At 43.1% G+C, this 16,805-nt stretch overlaps 1 protein-coding gene across 1 annotated transcript in view, besides 1 other annotated feature; it reads right to left on the reverse strand.

The window, feature by feature from the left end:
• The window catches only part of DGKK (diacylglycerol kinase kappa), a 105,417-nt gene extending 93,216 nt beyond the window's left edge, over window positions 1-12,201 (reverse strand). The window contains exon 1 of the mRNA NM_001013742.4: window positions 11,410-12,201. Coding sequence (NP_001013764.1) covers window positions 11,410-12,054 — 645 coding nt within the window. The 5' untranslated portion in view covers window positions 12,055-12,201. The remainder of the gene's footprint in view (window positions 1-11,409) is intronic.
• Window positions 11,364-12,161: an enhancer, noted in NCBI's record as "H3K4me1 hESC enhancer chrX:50212987-50213784 (GRCh37/hg19 assembly coordinates)". NCBI's record gives its function as "activates a minimal SCP1, AML or CMV promoter by ChIP-STARR-seq in naive H9 embryonic stem cells {active_cell/tissue: H9 hESC(naive)}" and the evidence as "EXISTENCE:reporter gene assay evidence [ECO:0000049][PMID:30033119]".

Consider the following 16,805-nt stretch of genomic DNA (forward strand, 5'->3'; position numbering starts at 1 on the left):
AGCCAACCCTCCACTTCAGCCATGTTATACTAATCAACAGCTCTTCAATGATTGCACAACATTAATCAGGTGATATACAAAATTTTGTCGGTTGCGTTTATTTATTTATTTTTCTGAGTCTACTTGCCAGGGAATCTGTTGTCTTTAAAATTTCAATAGGACTTGCCTCATCTACTTTATTTTTTACAATCTTTCAATCAGTACCCTATGATTCCCTGGCCCTGGCCTCACCTGCCCAATTCAAGTATAACTTCACTTCTACTGATACTTTTCACTGTCACTGCTTAATTTAATACCAGTTTTCTCTCCTCTCTGGGTTTGAGGGGGATATATTGTTCCTACGTTCCTCAAACAACTTCTTCATTTTTTCCCCTAAACTTCTTACATCAAAGTGAATTTGCTATCAGGCAGTCTCTCATATCTGCACCTAATCCATCTCTGAAAACTTGTTGGATGATGAATTTTGAATTGTAGGAACCTTTGTTCCATTATTTAGGTTGGAAAAGCGATAATGCATTCCCACCACATCTAAAAGTCCCAATATTTCTTCAAATATGGTAAAACACTGTTAAATGCCCATGTAACAATCCTCCAAATATGTATCATATTATAAAGCATTTAAAACACCAAGTACCTAATTATTGAACACTTAACAGACAAGCAGATACTTTGTGAGTAGGTCACAATAATGCCCTGCTATACGGAGTACAAAGTACTTCCCACACAAAAAAACAACCTTTCAAGCTGTTTCAAAGGTCTACCTTTGTGTTTCATCATTTTCATCATTAGAAAAAAAGACAGAGAAATTCAAAAAGTTCAGTGCCAGTAAGGAATTGTGGAAAGGCAAAGTAAGGCTTTTTCAGGAATTTCTAGAAAGAGGACTCACAAGTGCGAAGGAATATAATAAGAAAGCCATGAAGAGAACCACTAATGGGTACTTTGATTCCATGTGAAACCAAAGTGAAGCTCTCACATCCAAAAAAACAAACAAAAAAAATGTCACCAAGTTAAGTAAATTCAAGCAGAGGAGATCATAACAATGTCAAAATTATCATTTTAATTAGTCTTAACAGTCAAAGAGAGTTAAGTAGTTTGCACTAGAGGTGAGGTAGGGAAGAAAGGGACAGTAATATCCGAATTCTGGGTAAGAGAAAAGTTGTTTTACTCAAGCTCTGCAGGAGGGAAATTGTCACAGTAAGCATTAATTGAGGTTAGTGAGAAGGGTACCAACTTGCTAATTTTCTGAAATCAAGAATCTTGTTCTGCAGCTTCATTTACTGTCCTCTTTATTGTTTACACTTAGCTGTTTTAATAAAGCTACATCATATTTTCCTCTATAGTGCACAGTGATGTGAATAAACCATGAAATAATATGTTAAATGTACATAATAAATGCAAGTGACACTTATCAAGGGAAAATTAAAAACCAAGTTTATTATAAAATGGAACTGAGAAACTACTCTTAGAGTTGGGGTTCAGAGGACATCACCATGATGCTGGAGCTGACTTCAGGACAGTGAGGGCTCAACTGACAGAGCCCAGAGTTCATGAAAACTTTCTGGGTTTCAAGTCTCTTTACTGACAGCCAAGGAGCTTAACAATTTTTGCTCAGCAGGTACCTTTCATTTCCTGCGTCAAGCTGCAAAATCCCAGAAGAGAAAAGGTAGAGACATTTGCTGCAGGAGAAGGTAAATGAATGAACATCCAGGATTTAGTCCTACAAGCCATACTTTCATTCCCCTCTACTCTTGGAGGCAGGGAAAAGGCTCAGTCCTCAGAACTACTGCCTCTTGTTTCAGAAGAACACTGCAAAGCTCTGGATGTGTGGGTGGGTGGGGAGCATTAAGCATATCTCTCAGTATCCTACACGTGCTTGAGGGAAACAAGGGGTAAGAATCCCTGTCCTCAGGGGCCAATATTTCCTTTACAGGCTCTTTAAAGCAAGAGGCTTAAACAATAAATGCCTATAATGCTTTGGAAGATGAAAATCTCTGAAGTGCTACTGACCAGGCTGAAGATTCTGATCTTACTCAATAATGCATTACACTTCCCTTTTAAATTACTGATTCAGCCTTGGTTGGGTTGTATACAGTTTATTAACTCTCTCAAGTTTTGATCACACTTGGTTAATGAAAGCTGGATGAATTGAATATTCTATTTCCTTATAATTGTGGATAATGTCCTCATATATTCTTATTTCCCTTCTGGGTATGGCATACCCAGTTTAGCATAATGCTGTAACTTCTTGTTAAAGAGACAAAGCCATCACTAATTTTTTTTTTTTTTGGCATATAGTTAAAAGTGACTCAGAAATTTAGATTTTTTCCCTTTGGGAATTTAACAGTGGGAAGATAAGGTTGGTTTTGTTCTGGATCTCCTTCTCCAAGGCCAAGTCACAAAAGCTAACTGGACAAATAAAATCTAAGTGTCCAAAAAAGTGCAGTAAGTAAATGTGAGATCAAACTGCATTTGTATATGGGAGCAACTGCAACAATTGTGTCTACATAAAATCTATATACTTACTGCTTCACACAGCAAATATGCCCCTGAATGGTTGTGATTCAAGCATATGTTTAACAATCAGATCAGACAGGAGTTTGACTAGATGAACTTTAAGCTAAAATGAACAAGTGTTTCCTAAATCCAAGGTAGAATAATGAACACGATCTAATAATTAAGCGTGTGGGGCTGTGACTGGGGCAGGGTGAAGCCCGAGACACAATTGTGCATTCCCCAAAGTCTTACTACAGAAGACTATAAGCAAATATTCAGAGAAAATAAATGAAAAATATAGCAAAATATTAACAGTGATTATCTCTGAGTGGTGGGGTACTAGATGATTTTTATTTACTTTTTAGAAGCTTTCTTGATTTTCCACATTCTCTGAAATTAGCATGCATTCCTTTATTTTATTACATTGAATTTTAGTTTAAGTAGAGGAATGCTGAGAGAACTGACTATTAATAGTGAATACCTTGGCAAAGCATCTGGTAAAACAAATAACCACCATCTGCATATTTGTTTTGGTAATTGAGTCTCTCATTTACCAGTTTTGCTTAAAGGTAGTCTCATCCATGTGGTTTTGTTCACTGTAGAATCCTCAGTGGTTAGCACAATGTTAAACACATAGCACATAGGGAGCAGGTATCAGTTTACGTTTTAAAGAAATAAATGAATTTTAAAATTTGGAAAACATTAATTGAGTCTCTCTGCTTATAAATATGATTTGCAAATTTTATGGATTTGTGAAAATCAAGCCCTTTTATCGCCCTGCAGGAACAGACATCAAAGCCAGCACATAATGAAACATAATGGAGGATGGATCACCTCCATTACTGAGTTGGCGAAGGGTCCTTCCCTGTTAGGTAGGGGTGTCTGACTAATTGGTAGTTAATAGCAAGAGTGTCACTGCTTTTGAGTTTATCATCAACTCTTAATTCTCTGTAGTGTTAGATGGGAACAATGACGCAGCGAATTCCCAAATCATTTGTTCGGTTTGGAAAAGAGGTATGATTTTTCCCCAGAAGGTTTGCCTCCTAATTCTTTTTCTTTTGGACAGTGCCTTTCTTGGGAGTGTTGCCTACCTGGATGATGGGGAAGGTAACCAGAAATAGACTGGGGCAGCGGGAAGCCAGCCTGGGATTAAAATGTATCATCCTTTAGCCTTAGTGCTGAATGTAAAGTTCACTGGTGCCATTTGAGAGGGATAGTACCTTTTCTTTGTACAACACTTCAGATCTGTGGAGCCTGTGGGAGAAGTGAGTGCTTTTTTTTTTTTTTTTTTTTTGAGGCTTTTTTTCTGTCTTTGCTTTTTCTTTTAAAAAATCTCAGGAAGAAAGTTCAATGGTGTTGGAGGGATTATAGCCAACTTGCCTTAGATTAGGAGGATTTCTTCCCTTTTCCTCAAATATTTTTTTTCTCCTCTTGGATGTGGAGAGGAATAAAGTCCATTGATTTTAGTAAAGTTGAAGGTATCTCCTCTTACAATGGAAGATTTTTTTCTTTAAAAATCTCCAGGGGAAAAGATTCATTGCTTTTGGTGGAGGTGGGGGAGCATCTCTCTTTAGGTCTGGAGGATTTCCATTAAAAAATAGGTTTTGTGGAGAGGACCTACAAGGGCAACTTGTTTTAATGAAGCTGGGGAGCCCTCCCTAGTAGGATTTTTCTTTCTTTCCTTTTCTTTAAAAGAAACAGTTTATTGGGAAAAATTAGAATGGGAGACATCTCTCCTGGAAAGATTTTCTTTTCCTTTCCTTGCTTTTTTTTTTTTTTTTTTTTTTTTTTTTTTTTTTAATGAAACAGTGAAGGCTGAAAGATACATAAGGTCCCTGGGATAGGGTGAGATTGGGTACATACCCACCACCCCCCCCACACGCACATTCCCCACCTTGAAGAAGCTTGAGAAAGAGATTTTGTGTGTGTGTGGTTTTTTTTTCCTTATTGTGGGGGATGGAGAGGGTAGTCATCAGGAATAATACGCAATGTCTGCAGTAAGGTGTTGGTGCATTTTCCTGGAGAGAATTTCTTTCTTTGATCCTTTAAAAAATAATCCCTTTGTTAATTTTCTTCTTCCTCTTTCCCACCCCTCCTTCTCTGCCACCTTCACTCTATCCTACCTAGTCCTTTTCCCCTTCCCTTCACATTTCTCCCCCCATCCTCCTTCCTCTCTCCCTCTCCTTTCCTCCGTCTCCCCTTTCTTTTTCCCTCTCCTCCCTTCTCTCCCCCTCTTTCTTTTTCCCTCTCCACCTCTCCCTTTGTCTCTCTCTCTGGCTCCCTCCCTTCCTCTGTCTCTCTCCCTCTTTTTTCCTCTCCCTATCTCAGTCTCTCCCTACCTGCTCCTACCTTCCTCTCCTCTCTACCTGTCCGGCTTTCCCCCTCCCTCCCTTCTCCCCTCCTCCCTCTCTTCCTCTCTCTGTTTCTCTCCCTCCTTCTCCCTTCTCTTCCTTCTTTCTCCCTCTCTCCTTCTCCCCTCCTCCCTCCCTTCCTCTCTCTGTTTCTCTCTCTCCTTCTCCCTTCTCTTCCTTCTTTCTCCCTCTCTCCTTCTCTTTGTTTCTTTTTTGTTTTCAGAAAAATATTCAAGGACTTTGGTGAGTTTGGGGGCATCTTCATTCCTTAAGAAAAATATTTCTCTTTAAAATATACTGTTCATGTTCTTCCCTTCCCGCCCCCCATAATTCTAAATGTATTTGCTTGTTTTGAGAAAAAAAGGGGCTTTGTTGAGGCTGAGAATACTTTTGTTTAAGAGGACTTTCTTGGCTTTGTGTTTCTCCCCTACCTATCTTTTCTATTTGTTCTCAAATTACAAAAATTCTATATTAAGAATAAATCTTTTGGTAAATTATATAAATATATTAAATTATCACATGTTCCCTGAAAATATGTACATCTATTATGCATCAGTTAAAAATTAATTAAAAATAAATAAATAAAATAAAAAGAATAAAGTTTTTGAGTGAATTTGAGTCAACTCCCATTAGAAGGATTTTCTTTCATTTTTTCTTCTTTTAAAAAAATCGGTTTTTTTTTTTTTGGTTGTGTTTTGACAGGAAAATTAATGGGTCTTTGTGACATTGAAGTACTTCTTCTCTTTAAGAGGATTCTGTTTTTGTTTCATTAGTAATATCCTCTTCACCAACACATATACCCTTCCATTCTTAATTTTATTTTAAATCTTAAAAAAAATTGTATTTTAAGAATAAGGTTTATGCTCTTTAGTCATGGAGGAGTGGTATTTCTTTTGTCCCTCCCTCCCGCACCCCCCGCGCCCCTGCTTCTTGGAATTAAAAATTCTGGAGATTTGGTATAGTCAGGGACCTATCCTTTAATATTTCTTTCTTTTTTTAATTAAAATGTGTGTATCTAGAGGGGAGGATTCGTAAATTTCATTAACTTTTATGATTTTTGAGAATATCTGCCCTTAAAAAGATTTCCTTTTTTTGTTTGTTTTCCTTAATTTCTTTTTTTTTAATTGAAGGGGTGGCAAATAAAGGTTATTATCCTTGGCGAGGTTGAAGATCCTTTAAGAGGATCTCCCTTTCTTTTAGTTCCTTTTTTCAATTTTGTTTGTTTTTTGTTTTTGGGAGAATAATAGGTCTCTTATCTTGTGGTTAGAGGGATGGTATCTTTCTTTGAACTATTTTTAAAAATTGAGATGTAATTTACATACCATAAAATTCATCATCTTAACATACACAATTTTGTGGGTTTTATTGTATCCACAGTGTTGTGCACCCATCACCATTCTCTGATTTTAGAACATTTTAATCACCCTCAAAAGAAACCCTGTACTCTTTAGCCATCATCCCCTTTTCCACCTCCCATATTGCTTCCCTCATTTCCTTTCCATCTCTAAGGATTTGCCTCCTCTGCACATTTTATGTAATCGGGAAAATAATGTCAGGAAGCTTTGATGAGGTTGGGGGACCTTCCCTTTATTTTTGCCCCCTTAATTTTCTCAAGAGATTAAGCATGAGCCATGAAGTCAAATAAAGTTTACAAATTTCATGAATATTTTAAGGTTAGAAATACTGTTTAACTTAAGATGATTTCTCTTTTTTCATCTTAAAATTTTTCTTTGGGGGATATAAGTTCCATGGGCTTTGATGAGGGTGAGGATAACTTCCTTTTAGAAGCTGTTTCTTTTTTTTTCTTAAAATAATTTTCAGAGGAGAGATAAATTTCATTATCTGGGGTCACTGTCCCTTTCTTTTCGTTTTTAAAATTCATAAATTTGTTTTTATTATTTTGAGAATGAGCTCTATTTGCTTTGGTGAGGGTGGGGCATCTCCCTTTAGAATGGCTGCTTGCTTGCTTTTTTTTTTTTCCTTTAAAATTATTTTTTTTCCACTGAAAGAATTACAGTGGGTGGGCTTTGGAAAGGTCGGGCACCCTATCCTTAGCAGGATTTCAATTTATTTCCTTTACAAAACACACACGCACCAACAAAAAAGGTCTTTGTGAGTAATCGGTTCAGGGTCTCTGCCTCTTCTCGTTTCTTCTCTGGCTCCTCTTCTATGCTGGCCCCCTCTGGGAGCATCAGAAGTGGAGCAGCAACCACCGCTTTGGAAAAAAATTCAGAGCTGATGAAATGTCAGCTAAAAGACTGTTCTTAGACAAATGAGGATCCTATGTATCACAAAAGGCCATATGTCAGATTTTTAAAAAAATCTACAATAGAAAATTCAATCATTACATCCTATAAGCTGTCAAGTTTTATTTTTGCCCTCCCCCACCTGCTGCCTTGTTCAAGGAAATAAAAGGGTTAATAATGCAGAGGCAAGCACTCTGTAAACTGTAAAGTGCCACAGGAGCAGAAGGAACTATATAATCCTTATTAGAATACCCCTGAATGGTTTCCTGGTTTCTATGGATATTTTTTTCTTTTTCTTTTTTCTTTTTTTTTTTTTTTTTTTTTTTTGCCTTTCCTTGGAGGCACTTTCCCTTTGGGCTGCAGATCTGCAGAAGCCCTAGTCGGAGATTTTAATAAGTGCATAAGAATTGTACTCTGAGAAACTAAAGACCACTGACCAATACTTCATTATCTTTTCTAGAACACCCTGTAGTGACTGCTTAGGAACTATTAGAATACACCAAATAAATCAGATGGTATCATCAAAGCTTGGCAAGGAGGGGGGAAAAACTGAAGAGAAAAGAAAGTAATTTCATTCTGACCTTCAACAGGTTAAACATCTGAATCTATAATCCCAAATCTGTTTACAGTCACTGCAGATACTCTGTTCACTTAGGAAAAAAATTTATTATCCCCTGAAGCTAACAATATCATTATTAGTCTGCTGCTGCTGGGACTGCATGGGATAAGGACACTTTCCAAGCCATTAATAAAAATTGTTAGTAATTTGCTTCTTAATTATAGTTCCAATAACCACTCTGAAAATGGAAAGATTGACTGTATTTCCTTAAGGGCTATATATTCCATGCCATTTAAATAAGTATTTACTTCTCACTCTGAAACCAATGAGAACAAATTTTTATTCATTCACAGCAGCAGCCTCTACATTGCTGGAAATGGATAGTTTTCAAGCTTCAGCAAGTGTTTATTAAGCAAAATCAAGGAGGGCTGCATTGAACTAGGCACTGAGAAAGGCCACCCCTATTTTTGAGAAGCTCAGAAATCACTAATAAAATATTGATAGGAATCACCAGATATCATATAAACAAATGCTTGCTATTTTGCAAGAAAATGTACAAAAATATCAGTTTTGTGCATAAAAGCTGTCCTGATATGGTTTGAGGATAATGGTTATTACTGTGCAGTCATCAGGAGGGATACACAGACCCCTTTTATCTCCCCCAAAAGCCATGAAAGTGTATCTCCCCTCAGATTTTCATCAATCATTTGTATGATGTGATTTTCATTTCATAGCTGGTCAAAACCCAATGAATAAACAAAATTTTGTCTTTCTTCAAGCACAGCTGATGAGAGAGAAAGAAACATGGTCTACTTCATATAAGCCCCATCCCTCCCCCAAGAGAGTTATAGCATTGCTAAAGAACCAATTCACACATCCTTACTTACACTTGCTGCCACCAGGTGGGAGACCATGGCTCATTTCCTGGGAATTGAAACATTTTAGAAAGGAAAGAAATAGACATGTTTGGTTCACAGACTGACTGTGTTATCCTGGTAGCTATTTGAAAAGAAAACATGAGCCCCCTTTTCTCAGTCAATTGCAGGTTCTGAAACTTTCCTGAAATTCCAAAAAAGAGCAGACTACAAGGCTGAAAGATGTTGGTTTTTTGCTACAATACCAGTCAACAAAATTATCTGGGAGAAACTTGCAGTCATATTCAAACACTTGGTTTTGCTCATTTCATCCTTTGAATTATCAGGATAGTTTCATGCTTGCTATGGAGGATTTCATTGCATGATGAGACCTGTATTTTGTTTTGTTCCCTGACATTTTGGGCACATATGTATAGTATGTGTGTGTGTTAGGGGTGTGTGCACGCCTGTGCGTGTTGCACAGTTTTTTCCCCCCAAGCTTGCCTCGAGGAGGCAGTGTTTGAAAACAACATCACCCCAGCTAAGATGACAACCTGTTTGCCTTGAATGTTAAGATACAAGCCAGCTGGTTGCAGGTGCCATTTGTCTGAGGAAGATGCAGGAGAGAATGATCCTATCACTGAAGATCAGATGTTCCCAGCTGCACCAGAGAGCAATTGCATAGCAACATTGAGGGTGTTGTAAAAGGGTTTGGCTCCAAGCAATTTAATTTGAGCACGTACCTAGATCCTTTACATCCTTCAAAATTCTCCAGAGCCACTGATTAGTTAATCTGCATGGCCTTCTTAACGGATGGTCGTGGTTCTTAACCCCATTCTACAGATAAGTGATTCAACAAATGTCTGGCTCTACTAAGGGCAAAGTCAAACCCCTGGGATCCTGGTCTCCTGCCAGTGTTGCCAGATGTCTGTGGGTCAGCTAGCCAGCACGTCTGAGTGGGCACTACGTAGAGGAAACTAATCTGATTCCCCTTACCTTAATCTTCCTCATCTGTCTGGCAATGACATTTTCCTGTCAAACAGGTAGGAGATGCTTTCGCATGGGAGCAGGGGATGCTTTTCACTGGGGGAAGGGTCCTGGTCGCCAGTCAGCCTTTCAGAGGCCAAAGGGGAGATGCATTCTCTGGGTATTACGTCCCCACGTGTCAGTTTCACAGCCATGTTCCCAAAATTTCGCTTAAGATGGCCACAGGTCAGGTGATTCCTGCTTGTCTCTTTCCCACCAGCTTAATGCAAACTCTTCCAAAAAGACAAGATCAATCACCCGGTGAGGGTGAGCTCCCAAATCTAGCCACCCCAACTTTGCCCTTCTTAAGATCACTGCAGGAAAGGGTATTTTCAGGAAGGGGAGGGATACATCCCCTGGTGAGAGCTAGGGTGTTGAATTTTTAAAAACTTATCAGAGTCTCCCACCGTCATGTTTTATTTATTTTTAAACCTCTGCACTTTCTTTTCTCTGTGAAACTTTTCATTTTAGCCTTCTTTTTCAGTTATTCGTCATTGCAGATATTTTGCAAACTCAAGCCTCCCTACTAAGAACTCAGGAAGCAACCAATGCTTCCATTTCGTGATGCCAATCTGCCCCCTCCCCTCCCGCATTCTACATTCTATAAGTGTGCGGTCCACAGCAGAAGGGTTCCTGAGCCGTGTCCTTATGGTCTGCTAGGCAGCAGGATGGACCGGTATTGTTCGTGTGTTGTGTTATTCGTTTGTGTGTGTGTGTGTGTGTGTGTGAATGCGCGCGCGTGTGTATGTCTTCCTGCAGGGGAAGCTAAATTGAGGTGTGTGTGTGCATTATCCTGGTTTTCAGTTTTGTGGAACGAAGTTTAGGGTAAAGGAAGAGTAGGGAGAGTGCAGAGAAAGCAGGAAAGACAGGCATACTCCCGCTTAAGAGCAGACGGGGTTTCAGGGTCCAAGGTAAACACGAAAACCTTTTTCCTCCCTACTCCCCTTGGGCGAGTGCCAGAAGATTCTCCACTCATCTTTTCCCGGCTAAGTGTAACGATTTAGAAGGCGTCGCGGTAGACTGGTAGAGATGAAGGTTCCCCTTCACACGTTCTGCAATCCCAACTCCTATTTTCGTGTCTCTAAACCAGGACTCCTGTACCATTCCAATTGGCCCTGGTGCGGGATGCCAGTTGCCCCGTTTGTGACGCTGCGCAACATTGTATCACTGCGTTTGCACCTACCTGCTGGGAAATCCTGCAGACAGATGGAATGGTGGCTTCGACACACGCATGCTCTCCCCCTCCTCCCGGAGAACCCTGCCCTTCCCCTGCAGTGCGCGTGGGCGCCGCCCATCCCCTCGTCCTCACCAGGAGTACCAGCTCGAAGCAGCCGGCAGAGGCGCCGGGCACCTCCCTGGAGGGCCGCCAGTTGCGCCCAGCTGAGGCGCCCCCTCCCCAGTGGCAGGGAGGGGGCCAAGCAGGCGAAGGCTCCGCAGCTTGGGCCTCTGCGGCAGTGACCGCGGCTAAGAGGTGTGTCCCACCGCCCCCACTCAATCCGTCCGCTATGTATTCGGGGCCAGCCCCAAACACTTCTCCAGGTCTCTTGCGCTCCCCGAGGGTATCTTCCTCCTCTCTTTCAAGATATTGGCGCTCACCGCACTGTCGCTTCTCTTCAAGGGGAAAACTGCTCCGATTCCCACCCCCTGCTGTCACCCCCGTTTCTAGCCCCAAACAGCCCATTCTCGATTCCCACATGTTGCTTCCCGCCTCCCAACCCCTTCCCATTCCCCCGGGTTCCCCATCCCTGCATCTTTCTCAGCATCTTGGCCAGCCAGTGCCAGACAAGCGGGATGCAAGGGGTACCCGGAGTCCCGCGGGCTCCATAGCCATCTGACTTCGCCTTGCTTCTTTTCCCCGCTTCAGGGGGTCTTTTGCTTACCTTTATTCTGGACCACGACATTGGCGTTCTGGGCGATGGCGATGGCGATGGCGATGGCGAGGTCTTTAGACCTCTCTCTCGAGTGTCCACCGGACATTGCAATAGACATGGTGCTGGACTTGGACGGAACTCTGGAGCCGCCTCAGGGCAGAACTCTGGGGCCAGCTCTGTCACAGGTTCTGGGGTCGGCTCTGGGGCCAGCTCTGGGGCAACTTCTGGAGTCAGCTCTGGGGCCGGCTCTGGGACCGACTCTAGGGCAGGTTCTGGAGTCGGCTCTGGGGCAGACTCTGTGGCAGGTTCTGGGGCCGGTTCTGGGGCCGGCTCTGTGGCAGGTTCTGGGGCCGGCTCTGTGGCAGGTTCTGGGGCCGGTTCTGAGGCCGGCTCTGTGGCTGGTTCTGGGGTCGGTTCTGTGTACAGTTCTGTGGCTGATTCTGAGGTCGCCTCTGGACAGGGACCTGGAGCAAGCTCTGGACAGGGCTCTGGTATGGGTTCTGGCGAAGCCTCGGAGAGCAGCGGCGGAGCCGGCGGCGGAGCCGGTGGTGGTGGCGGCGGCGGCCAAGGCGGCGGAGGCTCTGGAGACTCAGCGGGCTGCTCTCCATCCTGAGGCGGGGCAGTGCCCTGGGCTGCGGCAGCTCCGCGGTCCATGGCCGCACACCGCTTCAGGTCTGGGCAGCCTGAGTCCCTAAGCCTGGAAGGCTAAAGTACCCTCGGGCGCCCCGCCCACTCCAGTCCGGCAGCCCCTCGCAGGGTGCCAAACTTTCCCCCATCCCACTCCATGGCTGGCTTGGCTCTGAGGTCTAACCCGTGGGCGCTCAGCGTCTCCCTATGCTGGAACACGCCCCTCAGTGTGCGCACACCTCTTCGTAAGCAGCCACGGGTCCGATGGGCGGGAAGCAGAGGGGCTTGCGAACGCGGACTGGGCAGAGCGCTTGATGACCTCCTAGCGACGCGCGGGAGGGGAGGGGAGAGACAAAAAGGGGAGGGGGAGTGGAGCGGCGTGGAGGTTGGGGGGCGGGCTGGAGCCTTGCCGTGTTTAACCCTTTAGTGACACGAATGAAAAAAAAAAGCCAGAGGCGAAGTTGAGGGTCTTTGCAATCCCCCAACCACTTAGCTGCTGGTCAGAATAGCTTCCATCCTGTGTCTGCTCTCTCACCTCAGCAGCAGGTGAGCTTAGCCTCGGACCAACCTCTTGCCCCCCATCTCCAAGCCTCGATGGGCAAGTAATGCTTTTTATCTAAGCCGGGAAAAGAAATTAAGCGGCATGGTGTGTGTGTGGTGGGGGGGGGGGGTGCGGGGGGGGCGGGTGTTCAGCCTCCTTTGGATTGAAGTACAATTTGACCCTCTTCGGTTTTTTGCATTTCTGAGCTTTGCCGTTGGGTACAGAGTTTGAGGTGATTCGGGAAAGGAGTGTGATGAGGGAGGCTGGCGCCCCGGCTTTCCGCAGCCTGCAGCCTCCCCGAGAGCAAGTCGAGAGTGCCCCGGCAGCAGCTGGGCTTCGCGCTCGGGAGCTGAGGCTATCTGGGCGTCTGTCTGGCTCGCCTATGCTATAGGAGCCTGCCTTGTGCTTTTAGCTGGATTTCCCAGCCATCAGCAGGAGTTTGTTTTTCCGCCCCCCCCAAACTTGTTAACGCGCGCGCGCGCGCGCGTGTGTGTGTGTGTCTGTGTGTGTGTGTGTGTGTGTCTTGGGCTGGGGAAATTCACTGCAACACCCACACCCTTTTCACCTCCTGAAGCAGTCTGACATTAGAGATGGGAGATTCTCTTGGGAAGAGAACGACTGATGCCTAGCGCAGCACCTTTCCCACCACATCGGAAGACTTTAGAAGCTCTTTCTGTTATAGTCACGTACACATACACACAAACCATCATCTTAGTCAGACCTAGACTTTAGACGCCAATATATTACCAATTGTAATTAAAATTTGAGAAGACTACCTGTTAAGCCACAGCTGGGTGGGGGGAGCGGACGGGGGAGAAATACCTGTAAACCTGATTTGAAATATGACAAGTGAATTTATCTCCCATACACATAATGCTGCAGTTGTGGGTAGCAGCCTTCTTTCTGCAGCCCCTTCTCTAGCCATCTACTCCCAGACCATATCCCCCACTATTCCCTCTTCTTTTGCCAACGGACACTGACCTAGCCAGAATTTTCTAGAATCTGCAACATCTTTCTGTTGCCTATACTATGTCTCAGCAATAAATAATACCATAAGAGCACAGTTTCACCTAAATCCCTCCAAAGACCAGAATCTCTGGTGAGGTCTGCATTTCCCAGATCCTCGCTGCAGCCTCACAGCCTAAGCCCACCTTTCCAGAGATGTGTTAACACTGCTTGGCAGCTACTAAGCTAGTGCAGGGACCGTCCTTAAACTCTGGGGATGGGAAGACCAGGAGAAGTGAGCCCTATCAATTCCCTCACGTGGCAGTCCTCCTTCCAGTAAATTCACCTTAGGAGCCCACTCTCTTCACCCTCCTTGGGCTTGTTCTCCTTTCCCCTATCCCACACTCAAGTAGCCAAGCCGCCTTTAACCCTAAGAGTTCAGGACTGAAATATACAGGTGCCAGATCTCATTATTGGATCTGGTGCATTAAAGTGCCAGATCTGACCAACCAGCAAGTCCAGGACTGGAGATCACTTTTCTGGCTCTCACACCTTAATGGAATCCCTGTCCTTAGAAGGGGCAGATATCCCACATTTAAATTTTGCTTTTTACTAAACCCAACATGTAGTTAGAAGGGCTGAAGGCTGAGCAGTCACAGAGTAAGATGGCCTCTTGGGTTACAGATGGCCTCTTGGGGTTTGGCATAGACAGTGTATTGTCAAGCGAGATACCACCAGGGGACAACTTGGAGTTACTGCTTTATGTATGTTTATTGAAACTCTTGTCTATAATTCTACACTCAATTATAATGAGGCCAACATTTATGATGTAGACTCTTGCTACAAGGTCATTTTGAGATTGAATGCTAAAATAGTTGCTTGTACATGGCTTTTGCTCCATTAGGGTAGGTTACTGGAGATATACTGCCTGAACTGCATTATGATTAGTTTTGAAGGTTTTAAAAAATTATTTTTCAGCCCATCATTAGCTACCTTATTGCCTCATATCATAGTAAGGGTTCTTTGTGTGTGTGTGTCGGGGGTTCCTTAGCCCAGCATTGAATACCATGCTTTACATTGGAGGCAGAGTAGAGGGATGGCCAGAATGGTTGATTGGTACCTGATTTGGGGAGGCACCTTTGCTGTAACTAAGCTACACCTTCCTCTTTCCCATAACCTGCTGGTTTCTTAATAAAGTTTTACTTAGATGCTTCTGTATTTTCCTCACAACCTAACCCAGGACTTGAGGTCATAGTCAGGATTCAGGAAATGTCTGTTAAGTGGATGATTCATTGTAGGTTACTGGTTAGGATGTATTTTTCTGCCTTGCTTTTCAGCACTATTTGATATTTCAAATGATTAATGATCTCCTAAGAGGCTCTCTTTTAATTAAACAATACAGATTTTTAAAAAGGCAAAGAGGTACATAAGAATTTCTTTAACCAGACATATCTGGAATGATGACCGTATCCACAGAGGCTTGGATGAACATAGTTCTGGATGTCCCAGGGCAGAAATGGTCCTTAGCCTGGGACTTTTGGGCATGTTATATAAGTTACCTGATTGGGCTGGATGAAGGATCGATCAGTACAATAGGCTCATATCTTTTGAATATGCAATGCACTACCTTACCCAACTGCCAGCATTTACTCTGATTCTACCCAGAATAAAGCTTATCCAAGCCAGCATGGAGCTCCTTCAATTTCAGCCGTGCTCAGAGTTCTGGAGAGGCAAAGGAGAGAAAAGCTGAGAAATGTGACAAAATTAAATCTCTTCTCCCTTCCTGTTTTCATTTCATTTTCATTATTGAATGAGAGAGTGGCACTGTATTGCTAGAGTGGAAGCCCTTCCCCCCTTGATCAGTAGCTTTAAATTCCCTAAGTCCTCCCTTTTAGAGCAATTTGGGAAGAAATCAGTGTCTCTCCCGAGTCTTAGCAGCTGCCAACCTCCCCTACTGTACTACCTCGGGATGTGCCAAGCCAAAATAGCAACCTTTATAATAATCTACTAAATAAAATAAGGAGATGGGATGAAGAACAGGCAGCATGTATGGAGAAGGTAGAGGATTCAGACTATTAATTTAGCTGGGATTAAAATGCAAACCTGTTAACCTTTACTCACTCTAGTCTCCTAGGATTAATTGATATAGGATTGGAGAGTTAAAAAGTTAATACCTTGCATTTGTATAATGCCTTTTTATTTCTAAAGTACTTTCACATATATTATCTCACTTCAGCCTCACAACAAATGTGTGAGGCAAGCAAATTCGGACTTCCATCACATACCCCTGTCCCCTACCCTTTAACAGATGAGAAAACACAAGTCCAGTGAGACTAAGTGCCATGTCTTAGGTCACAGAGATAATTAGTGGTGGAACAGACATTTAGAACTTGTGTCACTCAATTTCCAGCTGAGGGAGACCAGAGCACAATACTGAGGGCTGTGAGCTGGGGGCTGTGAGACAGGGTCTGTGTAAATCCTCTTCATAGCAGAGTGGGAAGGCTGCCTTAATGCCTTTTTCTTTCTTGAGCTTGTCAAAGGAGCAGAGGTTTCTCAGCTCTCACTCTTTCTGGACAGCAGTTAATGATCTGCAACCAAGCTCACTATAGGAGGTCCCTGTTTAGAGGAACATTTTTGAATATGTATGTAATATAATAATTCAACCAGGGTATACTCATTTTATTGGTTCTGTTTTTATGTTTTCTTGAAGTGAAGCACTCCACAGTTAAGCGGTATTTACTGCCAGTCTGTGGTGTATACAGCCCTATTAGGTGTCCTGGGGAAGGAGAAAGGGCAGAAATATTAGACGTGATCCTTCCCACAAGAATTATTAGAGCTTGGTGGTCAAGATAAGCCAAATACAGGTGAAAAGCAATCCAAACACAGATGCCAGTTTATGATCATGACACCACACTTTGTACTTTTCTGGGGGGCTGGGGGTGGGTGGGGACTAAGTGTGACAGAGCGGAAAGGAAATTGCAAGGGGAGTCAGGAAATCTGGCTTCATATTAAGGTTCTACCACTAAACTCTCAACATGACCTTATACAGATCATTTAATGTCTTTGGGCCTTAAGTTTTCTCGTATGAAAAATGGAGGTGGGAATAAAGTTGAGCTTGATCATCTAGCTCTAAAGTCTGTTTTAGCACGAAATATCAGCAATCCTGTGAGTGAATCACGGACAGCTTTTTGTAAGGGGACAGATCTTGAAATGGATCTTGAATGATGCAATTAACATAGATCAGCAAAGGGGAAGTGGAAAGGCATTGCAGACAAGGAGAGAAGCAAAGATA

Source organism: Homo sapiens, chromosome X, assembly GCF_000001405.40.
Source record: "Homo sapiens chromosome X, GRCh38.p14 Primary Assembly".
NCBI lineage: Eukaryota > Metazoa > Chordata > Mammalia > Primates > Hominidae > Homo > Homo sapiens.